The 26396-nt window shown below is 38.1% G+C and overlaps 1 protein-coding gene across 7 annotated transcripts in view, besides 1 other annotated feature; it reads right to left on the bottom strand.

The window, feature by feature from the left end:
- The window catches only part of CCDC85A (coiled-coil domain containing 85A), a 202323-nt gene that overhangs the window by 84221 nt on the left and 91706 nt on the right, over positions 1-26396 (bottom strand). The gene's annotated exons all lie outside the window — the stretch shown is intronic.
- Positions 13143-14342: an enhancer, noted in NCBI's record as "P300/CBP strongly-dependent group 1 enhancer chr2:56514747-56515946 (GRCh37/hg19 assembly coordinates)". NCBI's record gives its function as "activates an origin of replication core promoter dependent on BRD2, BRD4, P300/CBP, MED14 and CDK7 cofactors, with strong dependence on P300/CBP, by STARR-seq in HCT116 cells {active_cell/tissue: HCT116}" and the evidence as "EXISTENCE:reporter gene assay evidence [ECO:0000049][PMID:35650434]".

Here is a 26396-nt window from a genome sequence, read left to right as displayed (position 1 = left end):
ACACTTTAAGTTCTGAAATACATGTGCAGAATGTGCAGGTTTGTTACATAGGTATGCATGTGCCATGGTGGTTTGCCATCCAGGTTTTAAGCCCTGCACGTATTAGGTATTTGTCCTAATGCTCTCCCTCCCCTTGCTCCCACCCCCAACAGGCTTTGGCATGTGATGTTTCCCTCCCTGTGTCCATGTGTTCTCATTGTTCACCTCCCACTTATGAGTGAGAACATGCAGTGTTTGGTTTTCTGATCTTTTAAACTCCACCTTTTGTTGAGCCATTCCTTATGCATAAAATGTCTGCTTCCTGCCTTAGCACCTAGAAAATTTCAGATTCTGCATTCTCTGTAAAGTTTTTCTCCAATATCTTAAACAGTATGACCTTTCCCTTCTTACTTCCTATTCACTTGGTATTAATCATGTTATCAAAAAAATAATTATTCATTCTTATATACCTCTGTATCAGAATCACTGGAGGGGCACTTATATAAAATATAGATTCCCAGATTTTAGCCTCAAAAAATTACGATTGAGAACAAGTGGCCAAAATAGTCACATTTTAACCAGCACCCAGGTGATTCTGTCACAGGTGGTAAGAAGGTCATACTTTAAGAAACATTGCCTTACCACAAATCCATCTTATGACAGGACTCTGAACACTCACATGTTAAAGGGCACATAGAAGACACACACCACACATTTACACACAGACAAACACAACATATTTAGTGACCACTGAGTGATTTGATTTGCTCCATAAATACTTCATACAACAGAAATATTGTGATTAAGAAAAGATTTTAGGGAAAAATTCTTATTATTTCAAGAAAAAAAGCATCCAAAACCTAGAATTTGACTTTTTTCTAAATAAATATTTCAGGTGCAAATTTATTTTATTTGCAGCTTGGAAAGATTGCAAAAAGGAAGTGTAATATCACTCTTTCCATTCATCACTGCTTATATAATAGAACCAGGGTTTCAAAATCCAGATTACTTAGATGATACTTAAGACTAAACTTCGGAGTTTGTGTTTGTAGGAAAAATAAATATGATTAAATGTGACTCAAACCAGGTTTGTAAAGCAAGATTCATCGACCTTGCAAGGCAAACATCACAAAGGCAATCATGTTCAGTAAAAGCACTGTTCCCACATGGGAGATTATAAAAGTGGGCCAGTCTTTCATACTGGCTGTCATGCCCAAGACTGCTACCTGTTTTTATCATGTGGGGTTATGTTGTATACACTTTGGATAGCTTCCTTAAATCCTCTGGAGAAAAATAAAGGAAGGGTATAAATTCACTGAGTTCACAAACTCCAAGGTATTCCCTTCTTGAAAGTCAGGCAGCAGCATGCCTAAGCATACAAGGGCATTCATGTTTTCTGCTCCTATGTTTTTCTTGCATCTAACTAGTGTCACTGGATCAGATTCTAGAGTAAGCTTCTTCTACACAGACCAGGTTCAGCATCACCCCTACATGACTAAAACTGCCCCTATTGGGAAAGAAGTGGAGAGAGGATTGTCAACTCACCAACATATCTAAGTCAACTTACCAACAAATCAGCATTAAATTGCCTTTGCTAACAGCCTATATCTGAAATCTATTCTTAGCAGCAAGAAATAATTTTCCATGTTCATTTACTTATTCAACAAATATTAATTTAGACCTACTTTGCATGATACATGGTATTTACCCTTAAGGATCATCTTATGGTCTAGATACTAAAGTCCAACTCTATCCATTCCTTCCCCATAGGAGGGCTGTGTCCCTATCTTACTCCCCCAGTGTCTAAGGTGCATTGATAACCTAACAGGCCAGCTCCTCTAGGTTTGGGAATCTCAGTTGCTTTGGAAGGGCCTAGTTTGCCTAGATCTATGTGTACTCTCTGTTTCTGAATGCTGGCTGCCTCTCAGGCCACTGCTAGCATACACCGTTTTGTCACCCAGATGCCTCTTGTTCACCTCCCACAATTCTTTCTCCTTTTTCTAGAACAGGGCCTACTACACATGGCAAAGCTCATGTTACCTGCACAGCTGCTCACTTCTTATAGTTTTACTTGGTAAAAACTCACTCTTCAGCCCCATGTCAGACTTTTTCATACAGTTGTAAAAAGAAATGAATGGAGGGGAAGGTAAGCACCAGCTGATTTCCTGAGGACAGTGGCAGGGAATCATGGGTAATATTACTTTAGGATTTTATTTAATCGTCTTTTTGCTTAAAATGACCTATCCCTTACTTTACCCGGTTTCTTGATTTTCTTGATTCAGTATGGGTATTCACTGATGACAGCCCTTTCTAATGTAATTCCAGCAGCTGGAATGCCCTTTTCTGAGTCAGACAGACTGTAACTGACCATCCTCCATTCCCAGCATTTTCTTTCTCATGTTCAATGCTGCTCATCCAACTATCAGCCAACGTGCCAGGAAATCTGTTTTCAGTGGCAAAGCTAGGAAACAAAAGACGTCTGGGCTCCAGAACAGAGTGCAGCCTCAGGATCCCAAGCAGAGATTATGAATTTTAATTCTCTTATTGCAGCACAGATGCATCCAGGCAAGAACATTAGAAAAGACTAATCAAGGAAGAAATCAGCAGGGGGCATCCATGCAGTAGATCACTGACAGCACTCTAAACTTAGTACAGCCAAGGCTAATAGCCTCCTCAAATCCTCTTCTCTCATTAAAGATGTCCTGAAAACAAGCTACCCAAGAATATTGCTGCAGTTATCGTAGTTACCAAATTGGCAGGCAATATTCTCTAAGTGCACTAGGCCAGGAGCTGAGGATTTCCTGTGTAGCCTTTACTCTTCCAGACTGAGTGCAGCTGTAAGAGGAGAAACAGCGGAGGTATCAGAAATAAATAATGCATGAGAACTACAGGTGGGGAAAGCTTTATTCAGGCCTTCCACACTGTTGTATGCCTAAACCCTGCATTTGCTACAAGGTGACTAGATTTGCTACCCTGTGTGTCCCAAATGGTAATGAGAATGACAGGGTTGAAGAAGAAACTTGTACCTTTGATCCTGTCCTTAGCCTCTCTCCAGCTGTTCTTGCCCACTATGTGTCTCAGCCTCCTCCCAGGCCTCTCCCCTCCAGACTCTTGAAATTTGGCTAGCTAATAAAATCACAGCATTTCAAAGGCCACAAAAGTAAACAGAAGTGGTATGCATGGTTAAATACATTCTATTTAGTTAACAGCCCAAATTTCAAACCTCCTATCACTGCCTCTCCTAATTCCCACCTATTCTCCGATCTCTAGATTAGTGATGTCATCACAAACCATTTTAAGTGATCTCCTGGATTCCAGTTATCCTAGAAAAAGTTTTTAAAAATCGAAACTAGAAAAGGGATAGTAAGCTTAAAAGATTCCCTAAATTCATCAAATCCTCAGGAAATGCATGATACCATATACAACAGAAAGTTTTTTCTTAAGAATTTCTTGACTCAAATTTAGCTGAGCCCTGAAACAGAATTTAGGACCTAAATACTCATTGAAAGTGTTAAAATGTTTCTTTAACCAATGGCAGATCAAGATCACTTTTTTTCCAAACGCAGCCTATAATTTGATTGAAATGAGGGCTCTCCTTCATTTAAATTCCTTTCCAATATGAAATTCCATGTTGCTTCCTAGGCAATGCAGGGGTCTGTCTAGCATTTATTCACACACCAGAACCCTCACTTCTGTAATTACCTTCTATCAAACTCAGAGTATTGGGCATCATTTCAGTCCCGCGCATTCCCTCTCCTGCTGCCATTTCTCAACCAGTGCTATTCTATCAGCTTCAAATGACCTGAAAAAACCTCCTTGGCACAAACTGCCATTCAGCCAGTGCATACACTAAAATGGAATCATTTTTCCACATAACATCAACCCCAGGAGGTTCACTGGCTATGCAAGATGGTTCTGATGCCTGGGGCATGACCTTATAAATCTCTTCTGCAGTCTGTGTGGGATGGCACTGCCAGGAATCATAGCTGTAACCATTTCCAGAGACGAATATGTTGTTGATGGCAGATCATGGTGTCTCAAACATGGAACTGGTTGGAAGATACTACCATTTCACAACCCTGGTTACACCCCTACACACTGCCAAGTGGTTGGTGCCAAGCTCCAGCTAACCATCTGCCAAATGCCACCCACTTTGGCCAAATGGCCTGAAAAAGAATGAAGTCCTATACCCAGTTCCACACCAATATCCAAGTCCCCGACATCACCTCACACGGCAAGCTCTGACACTCACCTGGATTTAGTGACCAAATACTTTGTCCACTGCCCTTTGTTATTAAACTTTACTGACCTTACTGAGGAAAAGGCTTTCCCCTGCAACAGAACTCACAATTTAACACAGAAAATCTACCAATGAGGGGCCGCTTTCCATGGCCCTGCACTGTGATTCCACTTGAAATACAGCATCATTCAGTCAGTTAACTCTTGCCTACTGAATAGCTAAATCACAAATGTTCCAACTCTTAGCCCTAATCCTTGGAAAATCATATAAACATGCTCTGGAAACAGAAAAAATATATAGTTATTTCACACAAAGGTCACACAATTAAAAAAAAAAAAAAAGGCTCGTACAAAGACTAGTATCCAAAGATCCTAAGAGAAAGATGTGGTCTTCAAAGCACAGAGCTAGAAAAGAGGTACTGCCTCCCTGATATTTTGAGTAAGTTTCCCCAACTCATCCACAGTCCTCTTAGCATACCAGTAAGAATCCATTTCACAGAAGCAACCTTGCTCTTGGCTTCCCTCTCATTTCCTCTAATCATTTTAGTGCCACTATGGGAAGCATTTGTAATGCACTTACAGACACATGCCCCCACCTCTCAACGAATAAGTATTTCCTCAGTAAATCCCACTGAGAGCACACTCCAGAAAAAAGCAGTGCTTGCAAAACATCTCATGTTCATTTTTCAGAACTCAGAATGAAATGACTAACCCCGATATACAATAAAAATGATTAAATGCAAACACTACTGAGCCTGTATAATAAATATTTCATATATTAATATGTTTTCAAAAGTCTTATTTCATTTTTACTGCTTTTCTATATGGTGTTATTCTATTTTAGTACATGGAATGAAATAATCTTCCATGAAAAAAGTAGGCATTTCTGGCCTATTTTAAATAAGCAAATAGATAATTATTATGCTATTAATTTGCTATGTAAATTGTTTAAATTGCTAACTCTTTCTTCTTTCCATTATTATAGGCAGTTCACTTCTTCCCAAGGAAAATGGAAAATTCCCTTTCAAAGTAAACTGTTCCTTCCCTCATGCCCCAGATGTACAACCCAGGTGTTCTGTCCTATGTCTCTTTTGTAAAACAGGCCAGAATCCTGACAAAAGCCTTTCTGAATAATGCCTGCTTAAGGTGCATCAAACATCAAAAGCCGCCAAAATTCCTTTCCCTACTCTAGAAAGGAAAAACACACTGGTTAGGGATCACCTCCATGTAAGTAAAAAATAATAGGGCGCCTGGTGACGGTTCAGCTGCCTGCTCCTTCTGCAGGCTTACATAGGCTTCAAAAGGTCCTCTTCTCATTTCACTTGCTGTTTATGGAAAAGGGAAAGAAGAAAACTACCACATTCCAGAAACTTTTCAGTAGGTATGTTATAAATAGTTTTTAAGTTATTTCATAACATCCTGGCACAGTAGGGCAAAAAGAAACCCTTCTGAACCATTAGTGACGCTTTGGGATACACCTTTACCACAGGTGCTGTTAAAATAGCAAAAAAGGGTACCCAGGCCATCAAACACATATTTAGAAGCTTCTATAAGTGGGAAATATTGAGGAAGAGAATAAAAAGAGGCAATGAAAGCTATACCCATGAGATCCTGCCAGTGTGCTAAAGTTCCTGATGTCATTTTCACATAGAGGAAAGGAAAATTGCTGCCTGTAGATTCCACATTTTTAAAACTGACTTCTTTTTTCATTTTCAGGGCTGCCTGCCTCCTTTCTCTTTATCGCATATGTAAGAAAGATGTCAACACTTACAGACTTAATTAGAAAGTCGTAGAAAAACCTGTCAGCTAGATTTGCAGAATCCTGACACAGAAGTCCTCAGGCACGCAGCACCTGGGCAGTGATACTGGTGGCTCTGCAACTCACCTTCTCACCTGGCCTTTGCCTGAAGCCAGAAGCTGTTATGATAGGGGAGGGAGGGAGATTCCTCCAGGCACTTCCTTTTCAGTCTATCCTCTAAGGGGTTTCCTGACACTAGATAATGATGCTAACACTCAAGAGAAGAAGTCACTAAACAGATACCACCTTCTTAATTTGCAGAGAAATGATCTGGAATGATAGTGAGTGGCAGAAACTCACACTCCTAGACAGAGGGGCCATTTCTTTTTGTAGGAGCCAAGCACTTGCCACGCACACCCCACACCTATTCTCAGCTCTCTGAGGGCCCTGGTGGTGAACTCCAGTGGCATCCTTTCACAAAGAGATCAACCTTCTTTCCACTAGCCATGCGGAAGCTGATTTGCTACATCACAACAGTGTAAAGCTATCAGCATATTATTAATCAATTATATTTATGCCATAGGCAAAATCTGCCCATTTGTGAAGAAGTCAACTCACCATGGAAGATCATGGCTTAGTCAATGGAAACCTTGATTTAAGTCCCACTACAAAAAAGAATAAAAACCCTGCTATAAAATTCAAAAACATTGATCTTAAAAACTGTGAGCAAAAAGTAAATACTTGAAGGTCCAATAAATACACTGGTTGAATTGACCTCTTTCTTTGAAGCTCTGAGACAAGATTTATTGGGAAGTGGGGATGGGGCATTTAGGGAGGTGTCTGATTCATTAAAATTAAAAAAAAATCCAAAACAACTGGTCCATTCAGTGAAAATCTAAGCACAGAAATACATAGCAACTAAAATCTGACAAACTTCTTCAGCAATCTGGATGCCATAAACACAATGTTTTGATTCTTATACCAGATAATGCAGACAATTCAATGACTTTAGTTCATGCTATCATGTATTTAGTCCTCAGAATTGCCAAAATCACTGTCATAATTATTACTACTTACTAATACCACCAACCCATCCTGGGTATTTCAGGGAGCTAGCTATTAGAGGTACCGGCCTTAGTAGTTACCATGTACTACTTTGCACCCAAAGCCCTCTTCAAAGCACCAAGACTTATAGTGACTTAAGAGTTTTAAATGTGATATTTTCTGGCAGTTCTCCTCTGCAATCCAGCAACCCAGAAACATTATCACTTTTTCATACATAAATCTCTAAGTTCTGATGCTGTTTAGGCAAAGTGTTTTATCTGTCATTGTCAGTCAGTCCCTACATAATCATAGAGGAAATGACTGATAAAAGATGTGAATCAAATTGTCAACTCTGAATAGAGTTATACGCTTGAGATGGACAAGGAAATAAACTAATTCCAAGAAGCCATTCCTAGATCAAGGTCAGTGAGTGCATAACACTGGCCTTAACCATTCCTACAGAATGAATAAAAATGCCATGACTTGGAAATCTGATTTTTTAAAAATTTTATTTAAGTTATGGTATACATGTGCAGGACGCGCAGGTTTGTTACATAGGTAAATGTGTGCCATGGTGGTTTGCCACATCTATCAACCCACCACCTAGGTATTAAGCCCAGCGTGTAATAGCTACTTATCTTGATGCTCTCCTTCCCCTGCCACCCCCCAAAAGGCCCCAGTGTGTATTGTTCTCCTCCTTGTGTCCATGTGTTCTCATTGTTCAGCTCCCACTTATAAGTGAGAACATTCGGTGTTTGATTTTCTGTTCCTGCGTTACTTTGCTGAGGATAATGGCTTCCAGGTCCATCCATGTCCCTGCAATGGACATGATCTCATTCCATTTTATGGTTGCACAATATTCCATTTTCTTTACCCACTCTATCATTGATGGGCATTTGGGTTGATTCCATGTCTTTGCTATTGTAAATAGTGCTGCAATAAACATAAGTGTATATGTATCTTTATAGCAGAATGATTTATATTCCTTTGGGTGTATACCCAGTAATGGGATTGCTGGGTCAAATGGTATTTCTGGTTCCAAATCTTTGAGGAATTGCCACACTCTCTTCCACAATGGTTGAACTAATTTACATTCCCACCAACAGTATAAAAGCATTCCTATTTCTCCACAGCCTCACCAGCATCTGTTGTTTTTTGACTTTTTAATAATTGCCATTCCAACTGGTGTGAGATGGTATCTCATTGTGGTTTTGATTTGAATTTCTCTAATGATCAGTGATGTTGAGCTTTTTTTCATGTGTTTGTTGGTTGCATATATGTCTTCTTTTGAGAAGTGTCTGTTCATGTCCTGTGCCCACTTTTTGATGGAGTTGTTTTTTTCTTGTAAATTTAAGTTCCTTGTAGATCTGAATATTAGACCTTTGTCAGACGTTTTCTCCCATTCTGTAGGTTGCCTGTTCACTCTGATGATAGTTTCTTTCGCTGTGCAGAAGCTCTTTAGTTTAATTAGATCCCATTTGTCAATTTTTGCTTTTGTTACAATTGCTTTTGATGTTTTTGCTATGAAATCTTTGCCTCTGCCTATGTCCTGAATGGTACTGCCTAGATTTTCCTCTAGGGTTTTTATAGTTTCGGACTTTACATTTAAGTCTTTAATCCATCTTGAGTTAATTTTTGTATATGGTGTAAGGAAGGCGTCCAGTTTCAATTTTCTGCATATGGCTAGCCAGTGGAAAACTGATTTTACAGGCCTATCTCTGGTATAACTTTGGCTTTTCTCCACATGGAATCCTCCAGCCTAGAATGTTGTAACAAGTACATCTGGTAGACAGCTAACGGGACCTAATACATGCCACAGATGTTAACTCCCCTTCTATCAAAGCTGCCAGCCAGTACCCAGGGGGCATGAGCTCTGACTCTGGTCTTCTCCAGCTGGGGGTAGCCTGGTCCACTCATTGCCCTGCACTGTAAACCTGCTCTCATTTCTATGTGTGCCATGACATGGAAAAGCTGGAATGGTGCTCTAAACCCCCTTGATTTCTGCCAACTTGACTATCAATTGGGTTTAGAAGATTATCTGCTCTATTTTAAAATCTAAGGAAAGTGATGCCAATATAGGTTTGCACACTATCTCATGTTCAGCTTCTTTTTATAAGCAATATCATAAATGTCAATGATGGGCCATAATGGAATAGAATGATACTCAGCCAGAAACAAAAATCCTTCCCTATGACAGCCACAGTGTCTTCATGGCCTCTGAGAAGAAGTATGTACAAATGATATATCCAGGGGTCTCATGTCCCAGTGTAAGCCAGAATGAATCATATAGAGTTATTTATTTCCTTATGTATTTATTTATTGCCTAGGTGAGAGGCAGGTACGAGAGGCCTACAACACTAAAAGCAGGCAAAACTAATTTATTTTCCCCATCCTACTTAAATCTAACTAAATAATCACATCATTCTCCTCTTTTCAGGAGACTGAGAGAGGGTTGTGGAAGGCAGAGGGGTCTATAGGTCCCTGTGAAGACCAAAACTAAAAGGTCTGGACCAAAAGGAAATAGGAGAAAATGTGTATCCTTTATCAAGTTGAAAATTATACTGCAACTCAGGCCGGATGTGGTGGCTCACTCCTGTAATAGCAGCACTTTGGGAGGCCGAGGCGGGTGGATCACGAGGTCAGGAGATTGAGACCATCCTGGCTAACACGGTGAAACCCCGTCTCTACTAAAAATACAAAAAAATTAGCCAGGTGTGGTAGTGGTTGCCTGTAGTCCCAGCTACTCGGGAGGCTGAGGCTGGAGAATGGCATGAACCCAGGAGGTGGAGCTTACAGTGAGCTGAGATGGCGCCACTGCACTCCAGCCTGGGCGACAGAGCAAGACTCCGTCTCAAAAAGAAAAAACGAAAAGAAAATTATACTGCATCTCAGAATGTGCCTGTGATGCAATAATAAATGTTTTTAACTCAGGCATTTGTTTTACTGAGACACATGTCTCAAATATGCCTAATCCCCTCCATCTGTCTCTTTAAATACCACTGTAGTGCAAGCTAGCCTTTGCCATCTCTCACCTGGGCCTGCACCAGCCTCCCACTGGGCTCTCTACTTCCACTCATCCTGGCTACAATTCTCCCTTCAGGAGTCAGCGTGAACGTTCTCACAGGTAAATCAGGTTACATCCTCCCTCTCCCTAAAAGTCTAAAAAAAAAAAAAAAAAAAGCCTTCCCATTTTTCTTTGAGTAAAAACCAAACATGTAATTCAGCCTACAGGGCCTTACGTGTTCTATCTACATTTCCAACCTTTCATGCTATGTGTCCCTTTGTCTACAAAGTTCCCAACACATCAGGCTCTGATAGCCCACCAAACATTCTTTCCCACTTTAGGGTCTTTGTACTTACTGATCTCTCTGATCTTCTCCCAAATTTTCAAGGGAACAGTATCTTTCTACCCTTTAAATCTACAGCTTAAATATCATCTACTCAGGGAGGCCTTTTCCAATCGCCTTAGCCATAGTAGCCCCCACACTGCTATTTTCTCTGCAGCCACTGTCACTTACTTTACAGCACTTACCACCAGCTCTTTTCACTAACTAATGATATGTTCAGTCCATTATGCCTTTATCTCACTCTCTAATGCTGTCTTGTTCACCCCAGTGCCCAGCACAGTGCCTGTCTCCTAATGGAGGTCTCCATCAGTACTTGCTGATTGACTAATAGATGAATAAATGAGAACCCACAATATGGTTAGATCCATCTATGCATCTTTTTGTCACTGAGCCTCTACTCAAAGATTAAGACATCAAGTTTTTCTTAGTTCTCTCATTATTCTACGTGTACTCCTCAAAATTTGCCTCTATATGAGAAAGGAATACATTTACATTTTACAAAAACCGAAGTTTCACAATTCATCATCAGTTGTGCCAATAGCAACTGCCATATAACCCGCAACATAAGTTCTTCAAATAATCCCCCAAAAGAGTTACATGGTCAAATGAATCTGCAAAACACTACACATTTTTTTTCTTTTTCTGGTTTTGGCTTGGAAACCCACAGTGTGTTTTAGCATATTAAAGACACCAAAAGAATTACAGTAAGGAAACCTGACTTTGTTTTAACCCAAGATTTTCCAAGCTCGTGGCAAAAGAGCCAATTTTTCTACTAATGCCAATTAACATCCCTACAAACTAGTATACCTCAAAATAGAATTTGGAAACAATTTTCTAGATAACTGTATAGAGGAAAGTGCCAAATGTAGTTTTCTTGAGAGATGTCCTTTTGGTTCACAGTAAAGAAGCTGGTGATAAAATTTGAAACATTAACAATGATAATTAAAAATCAATTATCTATAGACCAGGGGTTTTGATTACATAATTTCAGAATTATCTACACTATTTGCTTCTTCTGCCTGTCTTCTAGATAGTTAAATGATCACCACTAGTGATGTTATTAACTATGGATTCAACAAACAGCTAAGTTTGAAACAGTGAAACAGCAAAATTTCACCATGGACACAAATATAATTCATTTGCCATAGTAGAGGGGCACAGAATCAGGCATATTTGATCACCTGTAAACACAGGAAATGGCAAAAAAAGCCTGTTCTCTTTCCCACCCCCACAGCTATAAATGACAGATATTCATAGGGCCCCTCCAACCAAAACCAGAAAAAAAAAGCAGACTGAAAAAAATAGAGATTCCATGTTAGTATTAGCAAAAATGTTACACCTCTATCATTTACATGGATTATATAGTTAATAATTAACTAGCTAGGATGACAGAAAGATAATGGCTTAAATCTAAGACTGATCTTTGAGTGATTACAGACATAGAGCTTGAGGACTCACTACAATTGAAATGTCAGCACTGATGCAAGAATAAAAGAAGAGAATTATAGAAGGATGTGGCCAGAATAGGGCAGAGCAGAGCAGCAGACTGTAGAATAACTCAGAACCAGACAATAGCAGGAAATGAGGGTCTGGCTTGAACCAGGACAATCACCACCTCGACCCCTCTGGGATAAGGTTTGACCCATAGCCTAGTACCAGAGACAAGTTCTTCAGTTTGATCTGCAGTTGAAATATAAAATATTAAGTATTAAAATAGAAACCATCTGACAAAGATATCATACTTTACTGCCAGCGTGTTCTTATAAGACCAGAATGTCCTGGTGGACTTTAACTATACCCCCTCCAAAAATAATAAAACCATTAAATTAAGCTTCATTAATTGAAAACTCATGACAATTCGGACAACAGAGATGAGGTTTACATACTCTGTAAAAAGTAGATGGAAAGCAGATGAATAGTGGAAAGAAGATGGTAGGGATGACCACTGAGATCTTTTCAAGATCTGGTCCATGCCTACATCTCCGCCTCACCTCTCACAATCTCCCATGCCACCTCTACCACTGTTGTACCCTGTGCTCCAAGCATACTAAACTACATAGACTCCCAAGTGTGCCACCCTCTCTCATGCTGCTCCCTCTGGTTATAATGTCCTTCTACCACCCATATCACCCCCTTTGCCCAATGAAATCCTACTCAACTTTCAAGACTTGGCTCAGATGCCTTTCATGAGCTCCTCTTCAACCCAACCTGGGGTAACTGCATCCCCTAGTGTTCATACAGTCCTATCAGAATACTTACACTATGTTGGATGATCTATTTTCTTGACAACTTATTTGCCAGGCCTATATCCCCATGTCTGTCATACTGAATAGTAAACAATAACCAATAAGCATAGGTAGAATAAATAAATACATTAAAAAAATCCATATGCAAAGAACAGAGAGAAAAAAAGAGTGGTAATCTGAATCTGAAGTCAGCTGATAATAAGAAATCATGGGTCCTGTGTTGCCTACTGACTTATGAACCTGAATACTTTCATTTGGCATGCTAACTACAGCTTGGGCAGTTCTGCCTGTACCCTGGAACCCGGGTCAGCACTCCAGGTCCTTATCTCATTCTAGTGCTACTTAGGCCACCTCTGCTTACATTATTGAAACTCTTACTGCCATGTTAGTGAAACTATCAGCAACTAAAGGGTCATAAGGCTCTCTGTACACAGACCTTTAGAAATAATTATCACTTCACTGCAGAGAGCAGATGTGATTTCTCCCCGCAACACAAGTCATGTGAACCATTAATGTAGACACCAAATTACACATTTTCAAGGTTCACTGACTAGGAAAATGGTGTTAATTTTGGTGCTCTGGTCTTAGGATGTATAATTTAGGCACAAACAGATTTGTTTTTTAAAAAATATTGATTTAACTTTAATGATGATTTTTGGGGTGGGGGGGGCATGGTGGGAAGAAGCAACAGGGCCCCAGGAGATGAAATGCATTTCTCTATCGGTGTGTTGGAAAATACACCACTAAACTCGGTTCTGGAAATGTCATTTTCATGCCAAATTAAAGGTAAACATAATTATGTCTCACACATCAAAAGTACCTAATTAGACACACTCTTTGAGGCTAAAATATGCATGCAGACATAACTAATTTTAACTTACTTCATAATAACTTCATTATTTATGAAGTATCAATCAAAAACATTAAACTAGTTTGTATTTATAAGAAGATCTTAAAAACTGACAGTGATTTCCATTGTAATTCATTCCCGGTTTTCTGCTTTGGGAAATACACAAGTGTCTGTTCCTTTTTATCTTGATGCTAAAAGGAAAAAAAAAAAAAGAACCAAAGGAAATTTTAAGTAAGGAGTGGTGGGAAGTGAAGATAAAGCTTTGTGAGTCATGATGAATTTGCCACAAATAAAAATGCTGGGACTGTGACCAGGTAGAAAACTATTCATCACACAAATCTGAAGACCTCTGTCTACTCCATCCCTCTGTAATGAATAATTACCATGGCATTAGTGCTCCTACTCAGCTGTGGGGAGTAAACTGTCAATCATCCCAAGATATGGGTTCAGGGGTGAAGCTGACGCCAGGCTCTGTAAAGGAGCCTCTGAGAAGGACTGGATGGAAAGAGACCCCAAAGCTTCCCCAGAGGGCCTCTGCTATGATTTAAAACACCCTATGGCAGCTCTCTGTGGAAGACGAAAAACTCAAAGACAACAGGAAAGAAACTTAAAAGGCCTACAGTCCTGCTCTAAATAGGAGAAAAATTTCACACTCCCAAAAGTAGTCCACATTTATATGCACAGAATGTTGTATGCTGGGTGCTACAATGTCCCATTTCTTAAAATCAGGCAAACTGTGAAAAGAGGAAGAATTTGAAAATGGTAAAGTGAGAAAATAAAGGAGAAAGAATTGGCTTAGAGCCAAGAAAGAAGAGGCCTGTAAACACTGTCTCTGAAAGGGTGAGTTTGGTGTAGATCTGACAGAAAAAGAATGTGAAATGACACAGAATCAACCATACAACTCTAATATGCATTCCACAAAGAATGTGACTTCAACTTCAGATCATGACAGAGTTATTGGAACTGGGTCTGTCTGTCCTCCTGCCATAAACAACTAGAAAGTTGGTGGAATACTGGCCTGTTTTCAGACATTGGACAATAGGCAATGGAAGATAGTAATTGTTGAGAGAAGAGAAACTGTCAAGATGAAATCATGTTTGCCCTGGTTTTCTGCCTGAGGACACTTTCCAGACTGTGGCAAAGGAAAGTGAAGCCCAAGTAGAGAACTATGTCCCTGAACTGAGGAGATGCAAATTGAAGCTCGCAGCCACTGAAGCAACCAGAATGTGTAGGGCAGAGTACTGGAAATAAGACAATTCCACAGGAGGAAACAGGGCACTTAGAAGTTAGCTTGAAGGTCTCCCATGAGTCCTTGACAAAAGTCTGGGTTACAAAAGTGAAGAGTGAAACTCTGTCAGCCCTAGCAGAAAGTAACTACTGCAAGCCTGGGAGATGAACAAAAACACCAGATGTCATAACTATGCTGAGAGACATTGGAGCCCTGGTTCAGTCAGAGTGGAAAGATGTCAAACACCTCAGCATTCAGTTAAAACCACAGAAAGGGCACCCCTTGGAGAAAACACCACTCCCTAAAGTAAAGGTCGTGTCTGTAGGTATAAGGATAAAACCTAAAATAGAGCCAACCTAAAGGGGAATAAAACCAAGTCCAACAGGATCAAGAAAACCCACCAGTAATTTAACTGCTTTCCAGAAGAAAATTCAATTTCCTTTCAAAGAACACAACATACCCCAGATTCCCTACCAGGAATTATCCTTGATGTCCAATTTACAATAAAAAATGAACAAGTCATACAAAAGTAGAAATACATGACTCATAATAAAGAAAAATAAGCAGCCAATACAGAGACCAAGAGATGACCCAGATGTAAAAATGAGTAGATGGGATTTTAACATAGTTATTATAAATATGTTCAAGGGCTTAAAGGAAAATATGGACATATAAATGAACATATGGAGAAATCTTAGCAGAGATATGAAATATATAAAAGAAAGCCAATTCTAGTAGTAAAAAGTAATATGAAAAATTTAGCAAGTAGTCTTAGTAGCAGATTGAAGACTACAGCATAGAGGATCAATGAGTTGGAAGACAAATCAATAGAAATTATCCAATTTGAAGAACATAGATGAAAGCATTTTAAAAAAATTTTTTAAAAACAGCCTCAGTGAAGACAGCTTCAATAATACTAAGTGGTCTAACGTGCAATTGTTAGCTGACAGAAAAAGAAAAGAGACAATGGAACAGAAAAATATTTGAAGAAATACTAGCTGAATATTTTCCAATATGATGAAAAACATCTACCTATAGATCCAAAAAAGCTCAGTGAACCATAAATACAGAAATACAAAACAAATTACAACTAGGCACATAATGTCAAACTGCTAAAAATCAAAGATACAGAAAAAAATCATACAAGCAGCCTGAGAAAGATGCGTACATTAATGACAGAGAAATAATTATTCAAATTACAACTGGCTTCTCATCAGAAATAATGGACCCAAACAACAATAAAACATCTTTATATTGTTGGGGGTCGGGGTGGGGGGGACTGTCAACCCAAAATTCTATACCCAATAAATATATCCTTCAAATCTGAGGTTGAAAAAAACCATTTGCAGAGATAACACAGCCTAAGAAGATTTATATCCAACAGACCTGTACTACAAAAAGAAATTTCTTCAGGCTAAAGGCAAATGATACCAGCCGAACACACATAGGAAGCAAAGAACAACACTGGAAATAGTGCATATGTGGGCAAATATAAAAAGCAACCCTTTTTCTCTTAACTTCATTAAAAGAAAACTATTTAAAGGCATATAGTATAGGGTTCATAATGCATATAGTATAGGGTTTATAATGCATATAGAAGTAAAATATATGACATAACACAAAAGCCAGGGGAGTAAAATGTAATTATATAATAAAAAATTCTTAAACATGAAGTGTAGATAAGAATATTATTAATTATATTATTAATTATATTATATTATATATTATGTTATATTATATATAAATAATATAATTACATTATTAATATAATATACTATAATAATATTATTAATGTAATATTAATATAATATAATTAATAATATAATTAATTATATTATTAATATAATTAATCGATAAGAACATTAAATAAAATGTACTCGGCCAGGTGTGTTGGCTCACGCCTATAATCCCAGCACTCTGGGAGGCCAAGGTAGGTGGATCACTTAACGTCAGGAGTTCAAGATCAGTCTGGCCAACATGGTGAAACCCCATCTCTATGAAAAACACAAAAAAATTAGCTGGGCATGGTGGCATGCGCCTGTAATCCCAGCTACTTGGGAGGCCGAGGCAGGTGAATTGCTTGAACCTGGGACGTGGAGACTGCAGTGAGCTGAGATTGTGCCACTGCACTCCAGCCTGGGCGACAGAGTGAGACTCCATGTAAAAGAGAAAAAAAAAAAAGAAAGAAAAGAAAGGTAAGTCAAAACTCTATTCAAAAAGCAGACACTGCCAGACTGGATGAAAACACAAAATCCAACATTTTGCTGTCTTAAAGAGACTAATATAAAATGTAAAGCCATATATATGGGGTCAAAGTAAAAGGATGAAGAATATATACCATGCAAATAATCTGCATAAGAAAGCTGGTGTGGTTATGTTAATAACAAAAAATAGTCTTTAAGACAAGGATTATTATTGTAGATAATGAAAGACAATTCATAATGATTAAAAGGTCAACTTTTTTGGAAGATAAGTTGTAAATACTTATCAGTTATAAATACTTATGTGCATAAGAAAAGAACTTCAAAATAAAAGAAGCTGATAGAACTAAAGGCAGAGAGACAAACACACAAGAGCAAACCAAACATTAGTAAGGATTTAGAAGATTTGGGCTGGGCATGGTGGCTCACGCCTGTAATCCTGGCAGTTTGGGAGGCCAAGGCAGGTGGATCACTTAAGGTCAGGAGTTCAAGACCAGCCTGGCCAACATGGTGAAACTCCATCTCTACTAAAAATAGAAAAATTAGCTGGGCCTGGTGGTGCACACCTGTAATCCCAGCTACTCAGGAGGCTGAGGCAGGAAAATCACTTGAATCTGGAAGGCTGAGGTTGCAGTGAGCCTAGATCACGCCACTGCACTCCAACCTGGGCAACAAGAGTGAAACTCCGTCTCAAAAAAAATAAGAAGATTTGAACGTTATCAATCAATATGACTTGAAGAACATTTAGAAATCACTATATTCAGAAATGTAGAATTCAGATTCTGTCAAGTGCAAACAGAATATCAATCAAGAAAGAGCAATAAAAGACATAATAAATTTCAAAAATGTTGAAATATTATAGATCATAATATGGGAAAACAATAGAAATAAACTAGAAATCAATAAGGATATCTAGCAATGCCCAAGTATTTAAAAATTAAACAACACATTTGTAAATAACCTATTTATCAAAGAAAAAAATCACAGGGAAATAGAAAGTAATGAATGACAAAAATACAGTATATCAAAATTTATGAGATGTAAATAAAGCAATGCTTAGAGGGAAATGTAGAGTTTTAAATACTTAGAAAAGATAAAAGGTTTAAAATCAGTGATTTAAGTTTCCTTTTTAAGAAGCTATGGAAAAAGACAAGAAAATTAGACCCAGAGTAAATAGAAGAAAATGATATAGGTAATACAAATTAACTTAAGTAGAAAACGCACAAACAATAGACAAAACTAACAAAGCTAAAGTTTGTTCATTGGAAAGATCAGTGAAATTGACAAACTACTATCAATACAGATCAAAATAAGAAAATAATACAAATTGGAAATGTCAGAAAGATATGTCATTACAGATCCTACAGATATCACAACTCATACCAGTAATTTTACTAATGTAAATGAAATAGATTTCCTTGAAAAATACAAGTTACCAACATTGATTCAAGAAGAATCAGCATAACTCTAATGCCAAAAACCAACCAAAGAACCATTTTATGTTTAAAAGTTACATATCAGAATTCATCATAAAAATAGACCAAAAGAATCAAAAAGCAAATCTGGTGAAAGTAATAGTAAATCCAAAACCAGCAAATGTTAGAAAAGAAACTTTCATAACCAAGTGGAATTTATTCAAAAAATAAGTTTGAACAGTCAAAGTGAATCAGTGTAACACATTTTAGTGTAATAAAGAAGAAAAGCCATATTGTCACCACAGTCACCAAAAAATTTGACAAAATTAACACCTATTCATGATTTTAAGAAAAACTCCCAAGAGACTGGAATAGAAGGAAGAACATTATGAAGAATATCTACAAAAAGTGACAAGTAACACTGTGAAATACTGAATGCTTTTCCTCTAAGATCAGTAGATGAGTAGAGTACTTCTACCGAGTATAGCATTTGAGTTCTGAGTATGTACATCAACACAATAAAAATAAATAAACTACACATATTGGAAAGTAAGAAGTAAAACTGTCTTTATTTGCAGATACATGATTGTTTACATAAAAATCCTAAATATTTTACTAAATATCTACTAGAATAAAAGAATTTAATATTGTCGTAGGATACAAGGTCAATATATAAAAATCAACTGTGTATTTCTATATACTAGAAGAAAAAAAGAAAACATTTTAGTACCATTAACAATACTATAAAAATTAAGTCATTAGGAATGAATTTAACAAAAGATGTGCAGTGCTACTATTCTATAAAGTACAAAACACTGCTAAGAGAAATTAAAGCAGTCCAAATAAATGAAAAGTATGGCCGGGAATGGTGGCTCACGCCTGTAATCCCAGCACTCTGGGAGGCCGAGGCGAGAGGATCACATGAGGTCAGGAGTTCGAGACCAGCCTGGCCAACATGGTGAAACCCCGTCTCTACTAAAAATACAAAAATTAGCTAAGCATGGTGCCGCATGCCTGTAATCCCAGCTACCTGGGAGGCTGAGGCAGGAGAATAGCTTGAGCCTGGGAGGCGGAGGTTGCGGTGAGCCGAGATCGCGCCATTGCACTCCAACCTCGGCAACAACAGCTAGACTCCATCTCAAAATAAATAAATAAATAAATGAAAAGTCAATGAGAAGATTTCATATTATTAAAATATATAGACACAACACAATCCAAATCAAAACATCAGTCTTTCTTTGTAGAAATTGATACAATTACTTTAATATATACTTGACCTCAAATTGTTGAAATAATCTTAATCAACAACAACAAAAATGTAGAGGACTCACACTATTTGATTTCAGGACTTACTACAAAGCTACAGTTATCAAGACAGTGTTGTATTAATGTAAGGACAGACAAACATAACAACAGAATCTAAAAAAAGATCCACACATATATGGCCAATTGATCTTTGACAAGGGTGCCAAGGTAATTCAATGGAGGAAAGAACAGTCTTTTCAACAAATTGTACCTCGATATCCATAAAAAAAAAACTCTCAAAATTTTCCTCACATGTTAGGAACTAATAATAATAACAAAATGGATCACAGACCTAAAGATGAAATCTAAAATAATTAAAGTTGTAGTTAAAAACATAGGGAATAACATTTGCAATCTTAGAGTATGCAAAGATTTCTTAGGATACAAGTACAGACCACAAAATTTTTAAATGGATATACTGAACTTCATCAAAATTAAGGATTCTTCTTCATCTAAACACCACTAAGAAAATGACAGGTCAAGCTACAGATTGAGAGAAAACATTCTTATTCACTATTATTTACATATATCTGACAAATATGTATATAGCTTTGAAAAAATACTTGATTACAGAATATATAAAGAACTCTAAAAATTCATGAAAAAGATAAACAGCTAATCAAAAAAGGCAAAATCCATGAACAGACACTTCACTAAAAAAGACCACAAATGGCTGATATGCAACTTCATTATTCATCAGAGAAATGCAAACAAAATCTTTAGGACACTGTTATATACCCACTAGAATGGCTAAAATAAAAAAGCCTTACCATACCAAATGTGTATGAGGGATGTGGAACAACTGGAATTTTCAAACACTTATGATGGGAGTGTAAGATGATATAACCACTTTCAGAAGCTATTTGGCAGTTTTTTATAAAGTTCAATACACACCTACCCTATGACTTGCAATTCTATTCCTAGGTACTCATCCAGAAGAAATGAAAATACAATATCCACAAAAAGACTTGTATGTCCATGACTTTATTCAGAACAGCCAAAAACTAGAAAGAACCCAAGTCCCATCAACAAAACCGTATATAAACAAATTGGTACACATTTGAATAGAAAAAATATTTTTTAAAAAATGAACAGATAATACATGCAACAACATGGCTTAATCTCAAAACCATTATGTTCAGTGAAAGAATCCAGATACACAAGTAAATACTGTATGGTTCTGTTTACTTTAAGCTCAAGAACAGGTAAAACTAATGTATGTGATATAAATAAGAATAGTGGCCACCTAAATGGTTTAGAGATTCACTGTAAGAGGGTAAAAGGTAACTTTTGGGGGTGATGGAAATGTTCTAAATCTTTATTTAAGTATTGGTTACGTGGACATACTCTTGGCCAAAACTCATCAAATTATATACTCACAATATATGTATTTCACTTTGTTTAAAATTTCACCTAAAAAAAGTAAGAATCTAGGATTTCTGGTGGCTCCAACATCCTATAAATATTAATTTCTAATGTCAAAGGATAATCTGAAGTTTACTTTATGAGTGAAACTAGTCAATAATATAACTTTATTAACATGTAGTACTACTTCCTCACCAAAAGTTTGTGAGGGAGAGAGAGAGAATGGGCCAGAAATAACTTTTCTGTTAGATGTATGTGCTAACATCATTGCCTCCCACCTCCACCTCATTGTTTTTTAACACTCTCTCTAACACTAAATAACAAGTGATTCTCTCAGTAGCTGGATCCTAACTCTTAAGGATTTGTCGTATTAGTTGGTATGCTTGGGGGAGGGGATTGTCTTTGGAGTGTTGGATTTGATGTGTTATAGTTAATTAAGGTATTTCAGTTCTTGCTTGTAAGCATGGTGAGGAGGAATTAACGTGAAGTTTGGTTCGGCATGTACTATGGACGGTCAAGCAATTATAGTACTATAATTACTTATAACTTAATACTTGGGTCTTTAAGCATCTCACTCTCATTGACTAAGAAATGGCTCACCTAAAGCTATGATGCATTTTCAAACACAAGTAAACTGAACTTGAGACGTCTTTAAATAAGATCTAAATTGCTCTTATAATGGATTAAAAAGCCAAGGTTCAAAAAGGGTAATGACTCTAGCTGAGCTGCAAAACCTTGAAGTAAAGAAGGAAGGGCCTTTGCCCAGCTGGCCCACAGAGAGCCAACTCTAGATGCTAGGCCAGCACAAGTGCATGAACCATCAAATTCTATGAAACTCAAAAGTGCTAGAGGGAGTGAAAAGGTTCTAAGAGAGAGAGACACAATACGTTAAGTGAATTCATGCCTTGTGTTTAGAGGTGGGGGGGTGAGGATAGTATGTAGTTCACGAGGAATTTTAAAATGCCATATTCCTTTTGAATTTCTTATTCTTTCAGGTTTTAGATTTAAGGATTAGGCAATTTTGCTCCATGGGAAATAACCTGTATTAACAGCACCAACTTTGTTAAAATCAGTGTATCAAAGAGAAGTCTGCATTCACATGTTTATTCCAGCACTTTTCACAATATCCAAGATATGAAATTAACCTACATTTCTATCAGTGAATGAATAAAGAAAACAGGTATATATACCCAATGGAATATTGCTCAGTCATTAAAAAGATTTCATTCTTTTTATTTCATTTTATTCCTGTATTTGCAGCAACAGGAATGAATCTAGAGGACAATATAGTAAGTGAAATAACCCAGGCACAGAAAAATAAATACCACATAATCTCACTCATATGTGGAGTCTAAAAAAGTTGATCTCATAGAAGAACACAATACAAATGATGGTTACCAAAAGCTTGGGTGGTTAGAGCAGAGGAAGGAGATGTTGATCAAAGGATATATAATTACAGTTAAAATAGTAGAAATATTTTTTACATTGCAGAATAGGCAAGTTTATAGAGACAGAAAGTAGAGAAGCGATTGCCTGGAGCCAGGGGTGAAGGGGAGAAATAGGTGGTGGGAGGGGGAGAAATAAGGAATGACTATTAATGGTTATGGAGGTTCTTTGGGGGGTTATGAATATGTTTTAAAATTGTGTGGTGGTTGTACAACTCTGTGAACAAACTGAAAACCATTGGATTATATATTTTTAAGTGGGTGAACTGCATATGTGAATTATAACTCCATAAAATTTTTTTTAAAAAGCCTGTCCAGGGCTTTGGAAATGCAATGCAAATTCCCAAAGACCTTGAGAAGATAATACTAGCCACACACCTAAACTGAGTCTGCTGGAAGGTCAACTTTCTAGTTCACAGTCCATTAAGCTTCATGCTAACAAGGATACAGACACAGACCAGAAGAGAGGGGACTGTGGAGCACAGAGCCTCCAAAGGCCCCCTGGCAAATCACAGCTGGCCTTGGGCCACCTCAAGAATGTTGATCCTTGGCAGTAGTTTCATCAGTTAAGAAGGAGATGGTTTGTTCCTTCCCCCTCGTGCCTCCTGTTGATCCCTAACACACACACTAAAGGAGAAAGTAACCTGGAAGAAATGAGAAAAATAAGAAAGCAGACCAGTGTCTGGCGCGGAGGCTCATGCCTGTAATCCCAGCACTTTGGAAGGCCGAGGTGGGCTGTTCACTTGAAGTCAGGAGTTTGTGACCAGCCTGGCCAACATGGTGAAACCTGGATCTACTAAAAACACAGAAATTAGCCGGGCGTGGTGGTGGCCACCTGTAATCCCAGCTACTTGGGAGGCTAAGGCAGGAGAATCGCTTGAACCCAGGAGGCAGAGGTTGCAGTGAGCCGAGATTGTGCCACTGCATTCCAGCCTGGGCAACAGAGAGAGACTCCATCTCCAAAAAAATAATAATAATAAAAAATAAAAATAGACCAGGCTACTCCCATGCCTAATCCCTCAGACTGAGTTGAGAAGGACAAAATGATAAGATGATCCTTGAACCAGATATCAGATTGAAGTATTCAGCTGGAAAAGACAGAATTGGACTTTGCTATGCGTCTAAAAGTGACCAGAAAGCTCTGGGACATGCATGAGATATCATTAAAACACATCAAAAAGCAATTCAACACAGCACAGTTGAAGGATATAATGAAGAATAAATAAAACCATTTTATGTTATGTACCCAGACCCATTCAGACTTAAAAGAAAAAAAAAAGTCCAGTTCATTTATGAGGAAATCATTTTCTTGATTTTATTCATTAAAAAGGGGAGGAGAGTGAAGACACTACTCAAACCAATATAGAGGATCCAGACACTCTGGCATGGGGGAAAGACACTAAAGACACACAGGTTCTAATGACACTTCTATACCGACAGCCACCTACTTGCATCTCTAGCCAGTACTAATGTCCTGAGCTCTAGGCCAGCATATCCAATGGCAAGGTCTTTGAAGGTATGGCCTCCCCAGCCTCATCTCCCCCATGTTCACACATGCTCACCTAATCCCACCCATGCCAAGCTGTCTGGAACCTGTGGCCTCTGTTGCTTTCCATGCATGCTGCTCTGTTGGTCCAATACGTCCCTTCCTAATGTCTTTGAGTTACTCCAGCTTATCTTCCCAAACTCAGCACAAGGGTCACCATCTTGTAGAACCTAGGGGAGGTAAGTGCTACTTTCACTACATTATGGCATTTTCCAAGAAGAAAACATTAAGGGGCAGCTCCTTAGGAGACTCTGCGCCTAAGGGCTACAGTCTCGTCTTACTCATGTTAGCATTCCCTATGCTGGGCAGAGTGCCTTATACAGAGGGTGCTTAGGAAATGTTAGAGGAAGGAATAAGTGAATTTACCAATGAAGATATGAAGTCTATCGAGGGTTTCAGAAAATTATGAAATGTAATGTCTGAAGCAATTATCACATAGCAAGTCAAAGTTAGGGTACTGACCTATAACTTTAAACAAGTCATGTGGTTTTTTAATGCTTCCATGTCTCCAGTGTCAAATGGAAAGAAAAAAGAATCTCTAAAGGTTTTTTTTCAGCTCTAAAATTCTATGTTTAATGTGTCCATGCAGGATCTCTGTGGAAAGGGGCTTAACTTAAAGAAGAAGAGAAGAAAATGAAGGACGTTTTGGGTTTTCTGTTCCCAAAGAGTTTTCAGGAGAAAAACAACCAACAATCTGTTCTGAATGGCTTAATCATGTCTGCAAGATGATAGGTCATGAAAGATGATTCTTAAATTTTACCTCCTTTCCCACTTCCTAATTATTAGAAAACAGACATAAAAGGCATAGGTAGAAACTTCCCATCAAGGAAGTTGGCAACTTGGTACCCAGGATCCAGCTTCCTCATTTAAGCTGCTGAGCTATTGTGAAAGAATGAAAAAAGTCATCAAAGCAAAAAAAGAATAATCAGAAAGAGAGGACTCTGCGGCCTCAGAGAGTCCCAGCAGCTCAAAGCAGTTTAGAGCTGGCCTGTTCTTGGAGGATTGGGAGACTATCTTCTCTGCTCCTCAGGCTGTGTAGTAATTCTAAGACCCTAGTGTCCTTAGTTAGCACTGGCTAGATGCTGAAAACGAAGTTCACTGCTGGAACAGACGATGCCTGGCTAAGCCATCACTCACTGGTTTGCATTTGCAATCCAGATGTACATCAACCTTCAAGTTAAAATACAATAAACCCCATGACACAAGTTTACGTACATAACAAACCTGCACTTGTACCCCAAACTTAAAATAAAAGTTAAAAAAAATACACTCACTGTATTAGTCCATTTTCACGCTGCTGACAAAGACATATCAGAGACTGGGCAATTTACAAAACAAAGAGGTTTATTGGACTTACAGTTCCAAGTGGCTGGGGAGGCCTCACAATCATGGTGGAAGGTGAAAGGCACATCTCACGTGGCAGCGGCAAGAGAGAGAATGAGAGCCAAGCTAAATGGGTTTCCCCTCATGAAACCATCAGATCTCGTGAGACTCATTCACTACCATGAGATTAGCACAGGAAAGACTTGCCCCCATAATTCAATCACCTCCCACCAGTTCCTCCTACGACACGTGGGAATTTCAGGAGTTACAATTCAAGATGAGATTTGGGTGGGGATACAGTCAAACCGAATCACTCACCAAAGCATAAAAACCACCCTGGGCCCCTCTAGCCAGTCATCTTCAGAAAGTAAAGCCAGTAAGCAAAATAAAAAGCCAGTAAGCAAAATAAAAAGCACTCAAAAATATGTTTCTAGGTCCATAACCTTGTTAGCCAATCCTGAAATTGCCATATTCCTGGGAATAATTTTATATCTATACTCAGAAGTTCCAGTAAGAAAAAAATTAATGAGTTTCTAAATTTACCTAATAGGAATATAAGGAGGGGAGACGCCCCAAATCTATTTCATGTGATGTAAAATTCCCTCAAAGCTACCAATCTGAGTAAATTGATTAACTGTGAAATCCTTCTTTCTTGAGCCAAATTTAAACAGGATACTTATAGAGGGTGAGGAAACATCATGAGGCTAGCCCATAGGATCTTCATGCTCTGACTCAGTCTTTTCTCCTAATTAGCAAAAAGGGACCTACAAAAATACCAAAACAAAAGGTCAGATTTACTCAGAAGATTCGTGATGAACTTTTGCCTCCTGATTCTCAGAAGTGAGAAAGGATTTGGCTTTTGCTTATGGGTAAAAATAACAGAACAAGCTCTAACTTATCACAGATCAATCTAGTTATAAAGGTCATGATGAAGATAAATAATACCAAGAGTATACAGGGATGTATATGTTTACAAAATATTACATCAGACAGTCAGCACTCTAAAGCCGGATTAAAACTAGAACATTACATGGGTCCCTGTATTCAGGCTCAGTATTGGTCAATAGTAGAAAGCTCTGTCCTAATTTCCATTTTTCACTCTTTGCCACGTGATGTAAATACAGA

The sequence above is a fragment of the Homo sapiens genome, chromosome 2, assembly GCF_000001405.40.
Source record: "Homo sapiens chromosome 2, GRCh38.p14 Primary Assembly".
Taxonomy (NCBI): Eukaryota; Metazoa; Chordata; class Mammalia; order Primates; family Hominidae; genus Homo; species Homo sapiens.
Note: the sequence above shows the minus strand (reverse complement) of the source record. Positions and strands in the feature narration are given on the sequence as shown.